This window comes from Homo sapiens, chromosome 3, assembly GCF_000001405.40.
Source record: "Homo sapiens chromosome 3, GRCh38.p14 Primary Assembly".
Classification (NCBI taxonomy): Eukaryota; Metazoa; Chordata; class Mammalia; order Primates; family Hominidae; genus Homo; species Homo sapiens.
This window is the reverse complement of record NC_000003.12, coordinates 156,822,546-156,837,201: the sequence shown is the minus strand read 5'-3', so window position 1 is coordinate 156,837,201 and position 14,656 is coordinate 156,822,546. Positions and strand designations below refer to the sequence as shown.

General features: G+C 40.8%; 1 protein-coding gene across 2 annotated transcripts in view, besides 2 other annotated features; it reads right to left on the bottom strand.

Moving 5' to 3' along the window:
• Positions 1–10,849, bottom strand: part of LEKR1 (leucine, glutamate and lysine rich 1) — a 219,777-nt gene extending 208,928 nt beyond the window's left edge. Inside the window, exons 1-2 of one of the 2 annotated variants that reach the window (NM_001004316.3) lie at positions 10,826–10,849; positions 7,825–7,916 (exon numbers count right to left, since the gene is read on the bottom strand). In NM_001004316.3, coding sequence (NP_001004316.2) covers positions 7,825–7,872 — 48 coding nt within the window. In that variant the 5' untranslated portion in view covers positions 7,873–7,916; positions 10,826–10,849. Of the gene's footprint in view, positions 1–7,824; positions 7,917–10,092 lie in introns of both variants that reach the window. The other variant, NM_001193283.2, reaches the window with a different exon arrangement.
• Positions 9,708–10,002: a silencer, noted in NCBI's record as "tiled region #161; HepG2 Repressive non-DNase unmatched - State 2:TssF". NCBI's record gives its function as "represses a minimal TATA promoter and a strong SV40 promoter by Sharpr-MPRA in HepG2 cells {active_cell/tissue: HepG2}" and the evidence as "EXISTENCE:reporter gene assay evidence [ECO:0000049][PMID:27701403]".
• Positions 10,317–10,376: an enhancer, noted in NCBI's record as "active region_20733". NCBI's record gives its function as "activates an Ori minimal core promoter by ATAC-STARR-seq in GM12878 lymphoblastoid cells {active_cell/tissue: GM12878}" and the evidence as "EXISTENCE:reporter gene assay evidence [ECO:0000049][PMID:35858748]".
• Positions 10,850–14,656: the final 3,807 nt, after the last annotated feature.

Below are 14,656 nucleotides of genomic sequence, written 5' to 3'. Positions count from 1 at the left end.
TCTCCTCTATCCCCTCTCTAAGAATACCTCTTGCTTATATGATAAAATCCTGGAACATTAACATCTGGGCTTGTAAAAGACTCAGATTAAGTCACTACTGAAACTGAGTATACCATTTTTTTTAAAAGGAATTTTAGAAATCTTTTATTCTCCATAATTAAAGTTTTTAAAAAGGATGAATAATGTCCTAACTAGCTTCAGAAAATTCTCTTGAGCAGTTACAATCCTTTACAAGCTTGAAAATGACTGCCCCAGACTCCTTCCTGGAAGACTAATGGCAGCTGCCCCATGCTGTAGCTCAGTAGCTAAGACTACCCTTTTATAGTAGCAGTCTGGGCTCAATTGCTGGCTTTGGGAATGAGTCCTTTCTGGTTGGATACTTGTGGGACTTTTGCCATTTATTGATTCTTTTCTTCTCCATGGACAGCTTCTGATTTCCTGTCTTGAATTTTCTTTTCTCTGAGCTACCTCAGGGGCTATTCTACATATTGTAAAAATGCTTGCTGTCTCTTTGGAGACACCTCATGCATCCATCGATAAGTCATAATCTTAGATAAGACTTACTGGTTTCACTTAGGAGGAGACCTTTGAGGGGGAAAAAAGCTTAAAAGCCAGAGGCTGTTTGTCCTGGCTAGAGTATAGTAATAAAAGATTTAAAAGGATTTCTTTAACGAAGCTCTATGGTTAAAAGTTGGCTTAACTAAAAGTTGATATTTACACTATACATATATTTTAAAGGTCTTTATGCCTTTTCTCTTCTTGGATCTTGTTTTTTTTGAGAAAAAGCTTTTTTTTTCTTCTTGGTTGGCTGAATTGTTTCTCCATTTACTTCTTTTTGCCAGCCTGGGATTCCTTAGGAGAAACAGAGGAGGTACCACGGGCCCCATTTAGGGAAAAACCTGTTTTCCTCATGAAACCCACAAAATTGTAAGTAAACAAATCCTTCTCAAAATTTATGACTCTGCTCTGTTTTGCATTACATTATCCGACCTTTTTAACTTTTGAGGATATCAGAAATTACTTTGCTTTGGCTGGGCTTGGTGGCTTAGGCCTGTAAAACCAGCACTTTGGGAAGCCAAGGTGGGTGGGGTCACCTGAGGTCAGGAGTTCAAGGCCAGTCTTGAACATGACGAAAGCCCCTCTCTACTAAAAATACAAAAATCAGCCAGGCATGGTGGTACATGCCTGTAATCCCAGCTACTCAGAAGGCTGAGGCACAAGAATTGCTTGAACCCAGGAGGCGAAGGTTGCAGTGAGTCGAGATTGCACCACTGCACTCCAGCCTTGGTGACAGAGTGAGACTCATCTCAAAAAAAAAAAAAAAAAAAAAAAAAAAAAGTGAGACAGAGCAAGACTTGGGGGGAGGGAGAGAGGGAGGGAGCGAGGAAGGAAGGAAGGAAGGAAGGGAGGAAGGAATCGCTTTATGAGAGAGGCTTTACGAGAGAACTTTTAGCCTTGGTGTGTAATAGCTAGGTAAGAGATATACTCTTAGGGATGGCTAATGGCAGATGCTTACAATTGAGTTACTACAGGGTGATACTTGGTTCTTTGCACACCGAATAAGAAAACCATGTTCTTGGGGACCCGGAAAGTATGGATTGGGGAATGGACTGATTACAGATTGAGCTGATTGGCTTTGGGTTGCCCAGTAGCCTCAGTGAAAAATGTCCTTGCAATGAGATACACCATAAAATCACTATCTCGTCCTATAGCGTTTCTCTTTTGGGGGACCCAGGATTAGGCGTAAAAACGGAGCCCTTGATTTTTGGGGATCTGTTCTATCTTACAGCTCTGCCTGTCAGGCCCTGGAAGCTGCACGCTTTCTTGGCCCTGTTCCTTGAAGGGCTCCACCCTGAAGCCACAAATCCAATTTAGAAATTTACATATTTAAGAAAACCCCCATTGGTAAGGGTGCCTGCCTGTGTATATTAGAAACTATTATCATACAATGTTTTGGCTTAATGTCTCAGCTCTGTGCTTTTAAAATATAAGTTCTCTATCCTGTTTCACCTAGGAGCTGTCCCTTTAGAAATGCAAATTTAGAGTTGCCTAGCTGACAATTGTTTAGGGCAGGGAATAGGTAATCAAGAAACTGATAGTCTAAAATAGGAAATAGAAACTTAAAAACTGGCAAACAAAAAAATCTTACAACTACCAGATCCATTTCCTTCCATGTAATTATATGTGTTGTGTGTGGGATGTTTACATAAAGAACTCTAATTAACTGGTTTAGGGAAGAATGAGCCCTAAAATAAAATATTTTGTCAGAAAAATAGAAAATTTAATGCCTTTTAGTGTAGATGACTTTAGAAATCTTTGTTAAGTATAGTTTTAAAGATTATTGGTAAAATAAAAACATCTTCAAAATTTAGACATTTGGTCTACAGTAGGCAGACTGAATTCTGTCTTTGCTATACGTTTTAAGGTTATAAACTACTTCTATGATATTTTTGAAAATTGACTTGTCTATTCTTCAGTCATTAGATTTTAGGTAAGATCTGGGGACATATGGAGTTAGCCCTGTCCTCTGACTAGGCTAGGAAGAGTCAGACACTGTCTAAAGCTCTGTTCTTGTCCTAGGCTCTGCAATCTGATACATGGTTAAAATTACTTACTTACCAGGTTCCTAACCAGAAATAAAAGTGACTAAGAGTTAACATATTAACATTGAGACTACTAGAGAAAGTTTATATACAAGTTATATAAAGGAAGTAGAATGTGTTTTTGTCTTGGAAATATGGCTTTTGTTCAAAGGAAAGTAATCACGTTGAGTTTGGAGATTTTTGAGGATTGTCCCAAAAAGATATGACAATACTGAAGGTTTAAGCAAGTTGTAAAAGATTTATAATACATTGATCTTGTAAAGGAAGCTCTGTGGGTGTGAGCAATGTAGCCAAAAGTTGAACGGGATTATTTAGTTTTTCTATAAATTAAAACATTAAAATAAAAAGCACACTGTTACAAGGCCAGAATCTGGACCCATGTGTCAGAATAATGGTTTTCTTAGAACATTGATCTGCTCTTTAATAAATTATAAAAAGTTATGGGGGTCTGCCCTGTAATAAATTATAAAAAGTTATGGGGGGATGTTTAGGAAAATCTTACCTTATGGTCAAACTGATTAAGACTGTATAGATTTGTTTATAAGGTTTTATTAAAAAATTGGGCCTAACATTAATAGTACATTAATAAAAAGGTAAAATTTGGTTTTCCTCTTTTGAACAAAGTTTTTTTGTAATACTGAGCCACAATGAAATGTTTTTGCCTTTTAAGTAAACTGCAAAAAAAAAAAAAGGAAAAAAGGGGAAAGAGAGATTCAGGTAGCCACATGCTACCTTTATTGGGTATGCTGTTTAGGTTTTTGCCTTTTGAAATTTTTGAGTTATCACTTCTGCTAAATGAATAACCAATGATACTATTTTATAACAGTAAGTATTCTAAACCTTTGATATTTGACAAACCTTCCAAAATCAAAATTTCAAGTTCTAAATTCAGTCCTTTTGATTTCATTAATTTTTTCAATATTAGGTCCCCTGAAGTCCAAAAGAGACATCTGGCTTATTTGGCATGTTGACATCATAGAGTGAGCACTGTCAAGTATGAATTGGTATTTGGCTTTCTTTGGGCTGTATTTATATGAAAGTGTTATTGGTATGTGTTCCAGAATTGTGCAAGATTCCTATAATTTCAATATGACTTAGTGTATGTTATCAGTAATAATAATTGTTATATTAAATTGTATGCCACAAAAATAACCAAATTTCCTTGTTAATTGAGTCTTAAACCATAGCTGTTTAAGCCTCTTGTCATCCACAGTTATTTTTACTTTGATCCTTTTCAAAAGGTGATTTTATAATCAGCTATGGAACTCTAACAGGTGCTCTTGAATGCAGATTTCTGATATCTTTAAAGATTGTGCCATTAATATAGAGGGAGAAACTTCTAGGACTCTCAGGAAGAGCTGAAGTGTTCATGAATATCAAACAGAACAGGAATTAACTGTATGGACTGAACTAAGAGAATAATGAAATAATCTTTCTATGACTATTTGTTTGAAATGTTTCTGATCCTTTTTGTTTTTCAGGGTCAAAACACATAACAACTTTCCTTTTGAGCTGTTTATAGCTTTTAACAATTGAATGAAGCATATTTCTATCTGCAAACTTTGGAGCATATTTCTTTCTCTCTACGTGATTTCTCCAGAATTTTGAAACTAATTATGAGTCTTCTTAGCATATGGCAATATAGTTTTTTGCATAAGTTCAATAAGAATGTTTTTTGTTTTGCTTTGTTTTTTGCAACAGGACACAACTGGAGACACTGATTATTTTACCAAGGCTTTGACTGGAAATGGCATGGTTTCAGGCTGCTTTGAGTAACTGAGGTTGACTTACAGAGCTGATAACAGCCCCTTGGAAATACTGGTCTCATACCTTGTCCTTTACAGGGCTCCTAACCCGTAGTAAATAAAGAATGTCACTTTCTGACAGACCCAGGAATCCCAAGTTATTGTGGGACCTCAAGAAGAGAGAAATTCACCCAATTCATACAGGTATGTGCAGGCACAGATGAATCCTTGGCTGGGCTAGAGACTTTTAAAAGGTCTAATCTGAGATTCCTTATGAAATAAATTCCAGCAAAGCCAATTATTTTTAGAAAAAGAACCTATTTGGCAAATAACTATTCTTGCTGCATTTTATGCAAATAACCAGGCCAAATATAATGGGACTGGAACTTATTTTGCAAATAAATTGGTCCTACTATGATTTGTGTTTGGTAGAAATGGGGAACTGGAGAGAGAAAAATTGTTTCAGAAAAAAACTATAGTACAACTGTTATTAGATTCCAGCCTTATCCACTATGTTTGAGTCTCTGCTAATGACCCCATATCTGATTGATTCTTGGGGTCATTCACCTGTATCCCTTAAGGCTTCAGGTCAGTTCTACAGGGATTCCTGAAGTGAGGACTTTCTCTCCTTATGTTGGGGCTCATTATTTGTCTTATAGTCCACCTGTTCACTTAAGTGCTGTGTGAAAGCTGTGGATAAGAGCACCAATGTTTTCTTATGCAGACCTTGGGATCTCAACCTGGCACACATGAATACATACCAACAATTACAAGACAGTTTCACTCCTCTTACCCTGAGGGCAACTCCCACTCCAAATCTGCCCCTGTGAGCAGGAAGAAGTTACAGTGGCTGTAGGCCTTTTTCCATTTCCATAACACACAGATTAAAAATAAGGTATGATGAAACCCAAAGGAGGGGGATTAAAACTGTCTTTGCAAAAATTGTAACAGTGAGAAAATTCTGACCTAACCAAATTCAGTCTTGCCTTTAACCTCCAAACTGCCCTTGGTCATTTGATATGGTTTGGCTGTGCCCCCACCCAAATCTCATCTTGAATTGTAGCTCTCACAATTCCCACATCGTGAGGGGGACCTGGTGGGAGATAATTGAATCATGAGGGTGAACCTTTATCATGCTCTTCTCATGATAGTGAATAAGTCTCACAAGATCTGATGGTTTTATAAAGAGGAGCGCCCCTGCACAAGTTCTGTGTTGCCTGCCATCATGTAAGACATCCCTTGTTCTTCAGCCATGATTGTGAGGCCTCCCCAGCCATGTGGAACTGTGAGCCAATTAAACCTCTTTCCTTTATAAATTACCCAGTCTCAGGTATGTCTTTATTAACAGCATGAGAACAAACTAATACACAATTTCTGGGTATGGGCCAATCTAACTTTGGGAGAACTTTATAGTTTAAATAATATCCCTTAAACTAAGCCATCTTTGTAAAACTAATAAAAGCCAAAAGGTTAAGAGAATTAGAGGGGTCTGCATTCTGCTAATATGTAGGTGTAAATGACTAGGAGCCATTATTCCAATGGATTTGCAACTTCCCTAATTATTCCTGTAATTAACATCACTATTGTAGAACCTACAATTGGCCTTTTGAGATGTTTTTTCAGGCTTTTGTATTTCTAATGACTGATGCCCCACTTGGACTCTCCGTCTTCACACATGGACCATTTTCTACACCCCTATGACTGCATCCCCAATCAATCAGCAGCTCCCATACCCTAGCCCCACCGCCTGCCAAACTATCCTTGAAAATCCCTACCCTGCAAATTTTCGGAGATTGATTTGAGTAATAACTCCATCTGCCACATGCCACAGTGGCCTCATATCAATTAAACTTTCTTTACTGCAAAAAAACAAAACAAACAAATACAAAAACAATAAAAAAGAAACCAAAAACCCCCTTTCTTCTTAATGATTTTCTTAATGACATCTGGGAACTTGTCTGCTGCATCTTGGTCAGCAAAAGATGTTTCCCCTGTTATCTTGACTTTTTCTTTTTTATGCCAAACCTCTTTCAAAAATTACCAAACCATCCTTTGCTGGCATTAAATTATCCAGCTTTAGATCTTTCACCTTTTAAGTTGCCATATAATGATTTTTTTTTCTCTCCGAGACTTTTCACCACTCTCTGCTCACTCTGTGGAATGACTTTGTTTTTTCTTGAATCATATTAGAGTCTACAGGTATGCCTTTCTTATAACAATTCTGCACCCACATAAAAACTATGCTTTCATTATAAGAGATTTTGCAAAAAGTACATGGTTTTTGCACCTGTTGGCATAGCTGTAGCTACAACATCATAAATTTCCTTTATATATACATATCTAATGGTCCTTACACTGGATTCATTTATCTTGAAATAGTGGGCAACCACAGCTGCACACCACATTCTACAGTACACATCAAGCAATTCAACTTTTTCTTTGTAATGTCATGACTTTTCTCTGCTTCTTGAAAGTACTTCCAGCATCAGGTAGTGGCATGCTAAATGTGTCCTTTGTTGTTATCCAAAGCTTATGAAATTGCACTAAACATGATGAAAAATACACAAGAACTTCAAGATCACTTTTTCCTGAAGGGAAGAACTGCTCACATGGCCATGATTATCACACAGTGTTTTAAGGAGATAATCACAATGCCTGAGCTCACTGCAAAAGCAACAGGAGGTAGCTACAAAATTATTACATTTGTATAGTATATATTACAGTTAATTTTACGTAGTTACAATTTAATACTTCTTCGTTATGTTTTTTTACATCTCTTGACTGCAAATAGCACCACGTAGTTTCTTAAGTGTCTGTGTGCATAAGTTTTGATAAATTTTACCTTTTTATAATAGATTTGTGCATATTTTATGGTAGTAAATGACAAAATAGACTAGTGTCTACATACATTTTATGCATTCATGACATGCCTTTTTCTTAATTTTTTCAATATTTCTAGGCTACTTGGTTCGCCTGTGAGTTTTTTCAAACCATTCCAAATCTTCAAAACATTTTCCAATATATTTATTTTAAAAACCCACATATAAGTGGACCTACACAATTTAGTTCCATGTTGTTCAAGGGTCATCTGCATAAAAGGGGCTTAAAACAGTGCTTGGCACACAGTAAGTACTGAGAATTAATGTTGGTCAAACCATAATAGAGGCTTAGAAATCCAGCCCCATTAAAACACACATGGACGTTTCTGATGCCTGCTTTTCACTAGGGCTCCACAACCACCTGGTCAAATACTGTACTGGAATTAGATATATGTCTTCTTCCATAGCAGCAAAATTCTTCATACTGAATTGAATTCTACAATTCTGCTCATTATGATAATAATTATTCCCTCTCCCACTCCACCAATTCATTCAGATCCTATGACCAAAATTAATGAATTCACTCCTCTAGGTTTTAGAATTATGTAACTGCTACATGTTCCCACTGTTAGGCTGTAGCAACACAATATATCATACCTTTTGGATTTCTTCAGGCAACGCATGCATGGGAATGTGATGATCCATAACTTCCCAAAATATGGTGAGAGAGCTTTGAAGCCAAAGGAAATCTAAGAACATTGATGGCAACAGTCAGAACAGAAATAATGTAGAGAACATTCAAATTAAGATGCTTTATAAACTCCTAGAAGTATTTGGGGATGAATGGTGATAACTGTTTCAACAGATGCTTATTTCATCAGCTCAATGTTAGAAGGTACAGTTAGGGTTTTCTCCGTTAGTTATTGGGCCAATAGAACAGGAGAGAACTATAGAGACTGCTAAGTTAGAAAGAATATTTTCTCTTTTGTTAGAACTTTATAGTCTAATAATTTCTGTTGTGATTTACTACTAATTGTTTTTCAAATACATAATGACTAAAATTTTAAATACACATTTCAGTGTATTTTAAAAATCAAATATTTTTCTGAAATGCTGCTAGAAAAAGTATGAAAATATAGTATTTTAGCAGATGAAAAAAGCAATTGTGGCATGAATGCTGGATTAAATGATGAAATACAGAAAAAGAGCATTTAGAGATACCATATTAAATATGATATGCAAACACTGAACAGAAGAGTGATCAAAAAATAAGAAGCCAAGTGCCAATTTTATCTAAGATGGACATTTATATAATTTTATGCAGATATTTTACTTTTAACAGATTTTCTTTTTCTAATAAAAGCCATTCAATATAAAGGTCAGTCACTACTTTCATAAAACCAGAGGATAAATGGAGGAGCACTTTGGGTTTTTTGTTTTTTTTTTTAAATCCTTCCCTCACGAGTAAGGGCTGTTTATACATATCTAAGAAGTCAGGAGAAGGGCGAGGGCAGTGGCAGCAGAGTCAGATGATACAGGCACAATTCCATAGCAGGGAAGAAGGCATAGACAAGAGCAGTCTAAGAGTTCAAGAAAGGAAAAGATCTTATGTTTCAGATGAGAGGTGGGAGTTAGTGAAGGCTTCCTGAGGTTGCTTGTATTCAATCAGGGCAGGATTTTGACAAGAGACTGGAGAAGCAAAGTACTCTATCAGAGAGAGCAACCCCGGCCATACAGCAAGGTAGCAGGGAAACCGTAGTTGTCAAAAAGTCCTATAGTGGCATTATCTTTGTAAATGGTGCAACCACTAGTGGAAGAGAAGATTCCTTGTTCCCTGTGTTAGCACAAAGACTCATTTCAGTGAGTTGCTGTTTAAAACCAAAAACTAATGAGCTTTATGTCTTCCCACATAAAACATAATATGACATGTGTGGTAAAGTTAACTGAGGTCTGCAATGGAGGTACCATTAACCATGTCAACATAAGCCCAAACATAATCTGATGTTTGGCAGATTGTCATAATCATGTGGCAAGAGCCCAGAAGGCTCATTATTCTCATTTCTGTCATTTAATGGTGGATTTGCCATCAGTAAAATGAAATAGTAACTTCAACTCTATTGGGAGAATTTTCCAAAAAATTACCATCTAAACATCCTTTTAAAATTTCACCCATAAAGTTATCTGAGAGCACGGATCTAAATGACAGTATAAACAAAGCACCAGTAGAACAGTTTTTGTGTAGTGCCTTCATTGTCTGTGAATCTATTCCAACTTTATGGCCTTAGCATAAGAAGGGGAGGAATTGGCAGGTTCTGATTATCGGGGGGAAACTAAAAATTAAAAGTCCTGCCAACCCAGAAAATGCTCCACAATGCAGAAAGACAACAATTTTATTAGGCATTCAACTAGACTTTGATGCACATCACGGCTAATCTGCTAATGAGGTTACAAAGAGAGAAGGAAATCCCTCTTTTATACAGCCAAGGAGACACAATCCATTACACATTCTCAAGGAAACTGGTAACGTGTCCTCATGTAAGAGGGCTTAACATAGTGTTCTATACATTCTTTTATATTTCCTCTTTAATTCATCTGGTAATTGGGGTAACCACCTGTGTTAGCTAACGGCTTTCCTCCTAAGTAATGCACAGCTCCATAACGAAACAGGTGTTTACAATTAGGAATAACGCACCTAGGTTAAACTCCCAAAGTGACAAGGAGACTGGGGCCCTATCTTCCTTGATGTTTACATTTTAAAGAAATGGCTTCCAGGTCCTCAAGAAAAGCATTCCTAGGTCTTTAAAAACATTTGCATACATATTAAATAGAGGAAGCATTCACAAATACTAAGTTTCTCAAGAAAAAAGAAGGGTCTTTCCCTTTTGGCAACAGGGAAAATCTGTAATTTTTTAAATTTAGTCTTACATAGTTTTGCGTGTGTTATCAAACAAGTCCCTTTAATCCTTTCTCATTGCACGTATGTGGACCGCACTTTGGCAAGAGGTGCAGTGATAAGTGGCTGCAGCTACGTGGGTGTTTGTGAACCTCCTCTCTAACAAGATCACCGAAAAGACATTTTTTAAAATGCAGACACGTCCTTGTTCGTTTCCAATTCCGTTTCTCACACTAGTGTCACGTCAGGCCATTAACTCACGTTCAGCTTTCAAGCCCTTACGTAAAGAACCATTCCCATGGCGTGAATCACCCACAACGAGCAGGTCAGGGGCAGGTGAAGGCGGGAGTTCACATCCTAAGACTTTCCTGAAGCGGCAGGCTCTTCCACACAGAAACCAACCGCAAGGCCAGACAAAACTGCTGGAATGGCTTTCAAATCTGTCCCTTTCTAACCCCGTTCCCCCTGGACCTGCAGTGGCCGGAAGAGGAGGAGGAGGAGGGTGCGGGGGTGAGGAAGCAGAGCCGCGCGTTCCCCGGGGCTGGGAGGAAGGCGGACCGCGCCTGGGCCCCGCGGGCTGGCAGACACCAGGAAGGGGCCGCAGAGGAGCGTGGTGGCGGAGTCCAGACCCGGGGCCTCGTGCTCTCGCTGGGGCGCCGCGGCTCAGCTTTCTGGCTCTCTCCCCGGGTGCGAGCACGCCTCCACTCCGGAACTGCATTTGGAGGACCGGGTCATCCCAGGCTGAGGAAAGCCATCGTCCCTCACCTCGACTTCGACTAGGACGGGTGTGAAACGGCTTTCCCGGTCTCCCGGGCGACCGCGCCGCCAGTCGGCTGGACGTCAGGGCGCGGCGACGTCACGGCCCACGTCTGTCGTCAACGCTCCCCTGCACCGCCCAGGGTCTCACGCGCCGGGCGGAAGTGGGAAAACTGGTGGTGGGGCTCGGAAGGCTGGGCTAGTCTTACGCGGAATGCTGTGAGAGGGAGGGAAGGGGATCGAGGGATGAGGTGGGCGAGAGTGGGTCGGGTGCTTGGTAGCGACTGCTGAGATGGAGGGAGCTGTCCCAGCCTCGTGGGGGGTTGGAGAGAGGCACTGCCGGGAGTCGGGAGTCGGGAGCCTATAGCCCTACCTATCACCCCTTGCTCTGGGGCCTATGTGGTAGACACAGCAGTGAGCAGTTACTGTTCTTGAGCAGAGGAAAAAGAGATGCCTGTAGAGGTCATGGGTGTAAAGGGAAGTTCTGGTTTCAGTCATTACAGCCAGGACAAATTAATTGGGAAGGCGTTGGTGACATTTCCATTCTAGTCCAAAGTAGTGAAGATTAAGGGCTTAGTTCAAAAAGTATTTTGAGACCTCCTAGTCTACACTTTATTTATCGCAGGCTACCCACCCTTACACGTGACTAACTTCCCTTTGTTCATACATTCATTCATAAAACAAGTATTTATAGACCTACTACGCGACAAGCAGAGCAGCATACCGAGATAGGGTGATACTCTGTGACTGGTCAAGGCAGGAGCAGCCATTGGTGTAATTAGCAGGTGACTCATTCGTAGTCCAGATCTTGCCTTTCTGAGGATTATATAAGGTCGAAGTACAGTTCTTCCAAGAACCAAAGAAAACATCGATGGCTCTGTAGCAGGCAAAGAGACTGGTTTGCTATTGAATAAAATAAGATTAAGTAAATACAAAGAAAATTAATTGAACCTATAGATTTAGAGAAGTGATTAAATGACGCAGAGCAGTATCGGTACACCAAACTGCTTATTGATAACTACTAATTAATGACACCAGGAAGTACTGAACACTAGTGCCTTGTTCCTTGGCACTAAAAAGTCTAGTAGATGTGGCTGGGCGCGGTGGCTCGGGCCTGTAATTCCAGCACTTTGGGAGGCCAAGGCGGGCAGATCACAAGGTCAGGAGATCGAGATCATCCTGGCTAACACGGTGAAACCCCGTCTCTACTAAAAATACAAAAAAGTAGCCGGGCGTGGTGGCGGGCGCCTGTAGTCCCAGCTACTTGGGCTACTCGGGAGGCTGAGGCAGGAGAATGGCGTGAACCTGGGAGGCAGAGCTTACCCTGAGCCGAGATAATGCCACTGCACTCCAGCCTGGGCGACAGACCAAGACTCAGTCTCAAAAAAAAAAAAAAAAAAAAAAGTCTAGTAGATGTATCTTGTACATTTAACCTGACTGATATTTTTGCCCCAATGCCTACCCTTGATTTTCTGTTTCCACTCCCTCAAAGAAGAAAGGATTAAGAGGCCTAGAGGACAGTCAACCAAGTGGTCAACTATAACATGCTTATGAGAAGCCCAAATAACTTTCAGAGCTATTCATCCTCGTCATATTTATCTGAGAGATAGTGAGGGTAGGACTGCTCTCATTTTGTGATAATGGAAGTTTAGATACAGGGCACCAAAACTGGTACCTATCTGGGACAGGAATTTGCACACCTAATGCAAGATCACTCTGTTCTGAGGCTAGTTTTCTTTATTGAGTACTTTGTTTATAGGATAAGGAAAGGCAACACTTTAAGGATGGGAGAAAATCCAGCTCAAAGGCTGCAGTTCACTCCTTGGTTTAATTTCATCTGTGTTTATTTGTCTGCATATTGCCTTTGAGACCAATTTCCTTTCCACTGTAAATTTCCCTTAGACCTGCACTGTCCAGTAAGGTGGCCTCATGTAACTAATTTCACTAAAATGAAGTATGTTTAAAAATTCCATTGCTATATTGCATTAGCCATATTTTAAGTACTCAGTAGTCATGTAGGTAATGTATGATACACCATAGATACTGAACATTTTCATTATCATAGAAAGTTGGGCTGGGCGTGGTGGTTCATGCCTATAATCCCAGAGCTTTGGCAGGCTGAGGCAGGAGGATCTCTTGAAGCCAGGAGTTTGAGACTGGCCTGGGCAATATAGTGAGACTCTGTCACTATAAAAAAAAAAAAAATTAGCATGGTGTGGTGACACACACCTGTAGTCTTTACTCAGAAAGGCCTAGGTGAGAGGATCACTTGAGCCCAGGAATTTGAGGCTGCAGTCTATGATCTGGCCACTGCACTCCAGTCTAGGTGACAGAGCCCGACCCTGTCTCTTAAAAAAAGAAAACAAAGAAAAAGAAAGTTGGAAAGCAGTAGACCCCAGTAAGAATTTCAAAGGATAAGAGTTAAGTTGTGATGAATGACATTTTTTAAAGCGTAGCAGCAAAAAGTGTTATTCCTGAAAGAAGATAGTGCAAAGGAAGTGTTGTGACAAGATGTTACAAAATAGGTTTAAGAAAAAAAAAAAAGCCACGAATCCTGTGCCCTATGTTGGTGTTTTGTCTTGGTCTCTCCCTTTTCAGGTTTCTCACTTGCCCTCCCTCTGTCTTCCCACCCCATTACTGTCCATACTAGAATTGAAGTACAATTTAAAATAATCCCATCATTGGGCATATTAAATAAAGTTTTGGGTTACCCCATTAGTTTTTAATTGAGCTAATTTTCACTTTTTACTTCGACTTTTAAAAATTATCCAGTAATAGCCAAATTAAGCTGCTGTTAACTTCTTTTTATGACCCTTTATTCCCCGCTCCCAACCCCGTATTGTCAGTGATCCCTGGGGAAGGAAATGCTCTCAGTTTTTGGAATAGAGACGCTCTAAAGCGACTAACCTAGGGCTTTCCACATGGTCTGCAGAACTTTGTGTTGGTTTATGAGGACACAGTGTCTGTGCTTTTGTTACTGTTGTGAATTTACATAAAATATGTATCCAGCAGGGAAATGTCGTTCTTCACTTCAAAAAGTAGTTTTATGCTCCCTCCTTTGTTTCCTCCTCCCCCACCATGAAAAGCATGTAGAAGAGGTATGTTGCCTGCAATTCTGATAAAAATGTAGGAACTCTATCCAAGCGAGAGGCGACAGCGTGCTGGCAGTCCTCAGAGCCCTTGCTCGCTCTTGGCGCCTCCTCTGCCTGGGCTCCCACTTTAGTGGCACTTGAGGAACCCTTCAGCCCACTGCTGCACTGTGGGAGCCCCTTTCTGGGCTGGCCAAGGCCAGAGCTGGCTCCCTCAGCTTGCAGGGAGGTGTGGAGGGAGAGGGGCGAGCGGGAACTGGGGCTGCGCGCCGTGCTTGCGGGCCAGCTGGAGTTCCGGGTGGGCGTGGGCTTGGCAGGCCCCGCACTCGGAGCAGCCAGCCGGCCCTGCCAGCCACGGGCAATGAGGGGCTTAGCACCCAGGCCAGTGGCTGTGGAGGTTGTACTGGGTCCCCCCGCAGTGCCAGCCCACTGGCGCTGCACTCGATTTCTCGCTGGGCCTTAGCTGCCTTCCCGTGGAGCAGCGCTCGGGACCTGCAAGCCCGCCATGCCTGAGCCTCCCACCCCCTCCGTGGGCTCCTGTGCCGCCGGAGGCTCCCCAACAAGTGTCGCTCCCTGCTCCATGGCACCCAGTCCCATCGACCACCCAAGGGCTGAGGAGTGTGGGCTCACAGCGTGGGATTGGCAGGCAGCTCCTGTGCAGCCCCAGTGCGAGACCCACTGGGTGAAACCAGCTGGGCTCCTGAGTCTAGTGGGAACTTGGAGAACCTTTATGTCTAGCTCAGGGATTGTA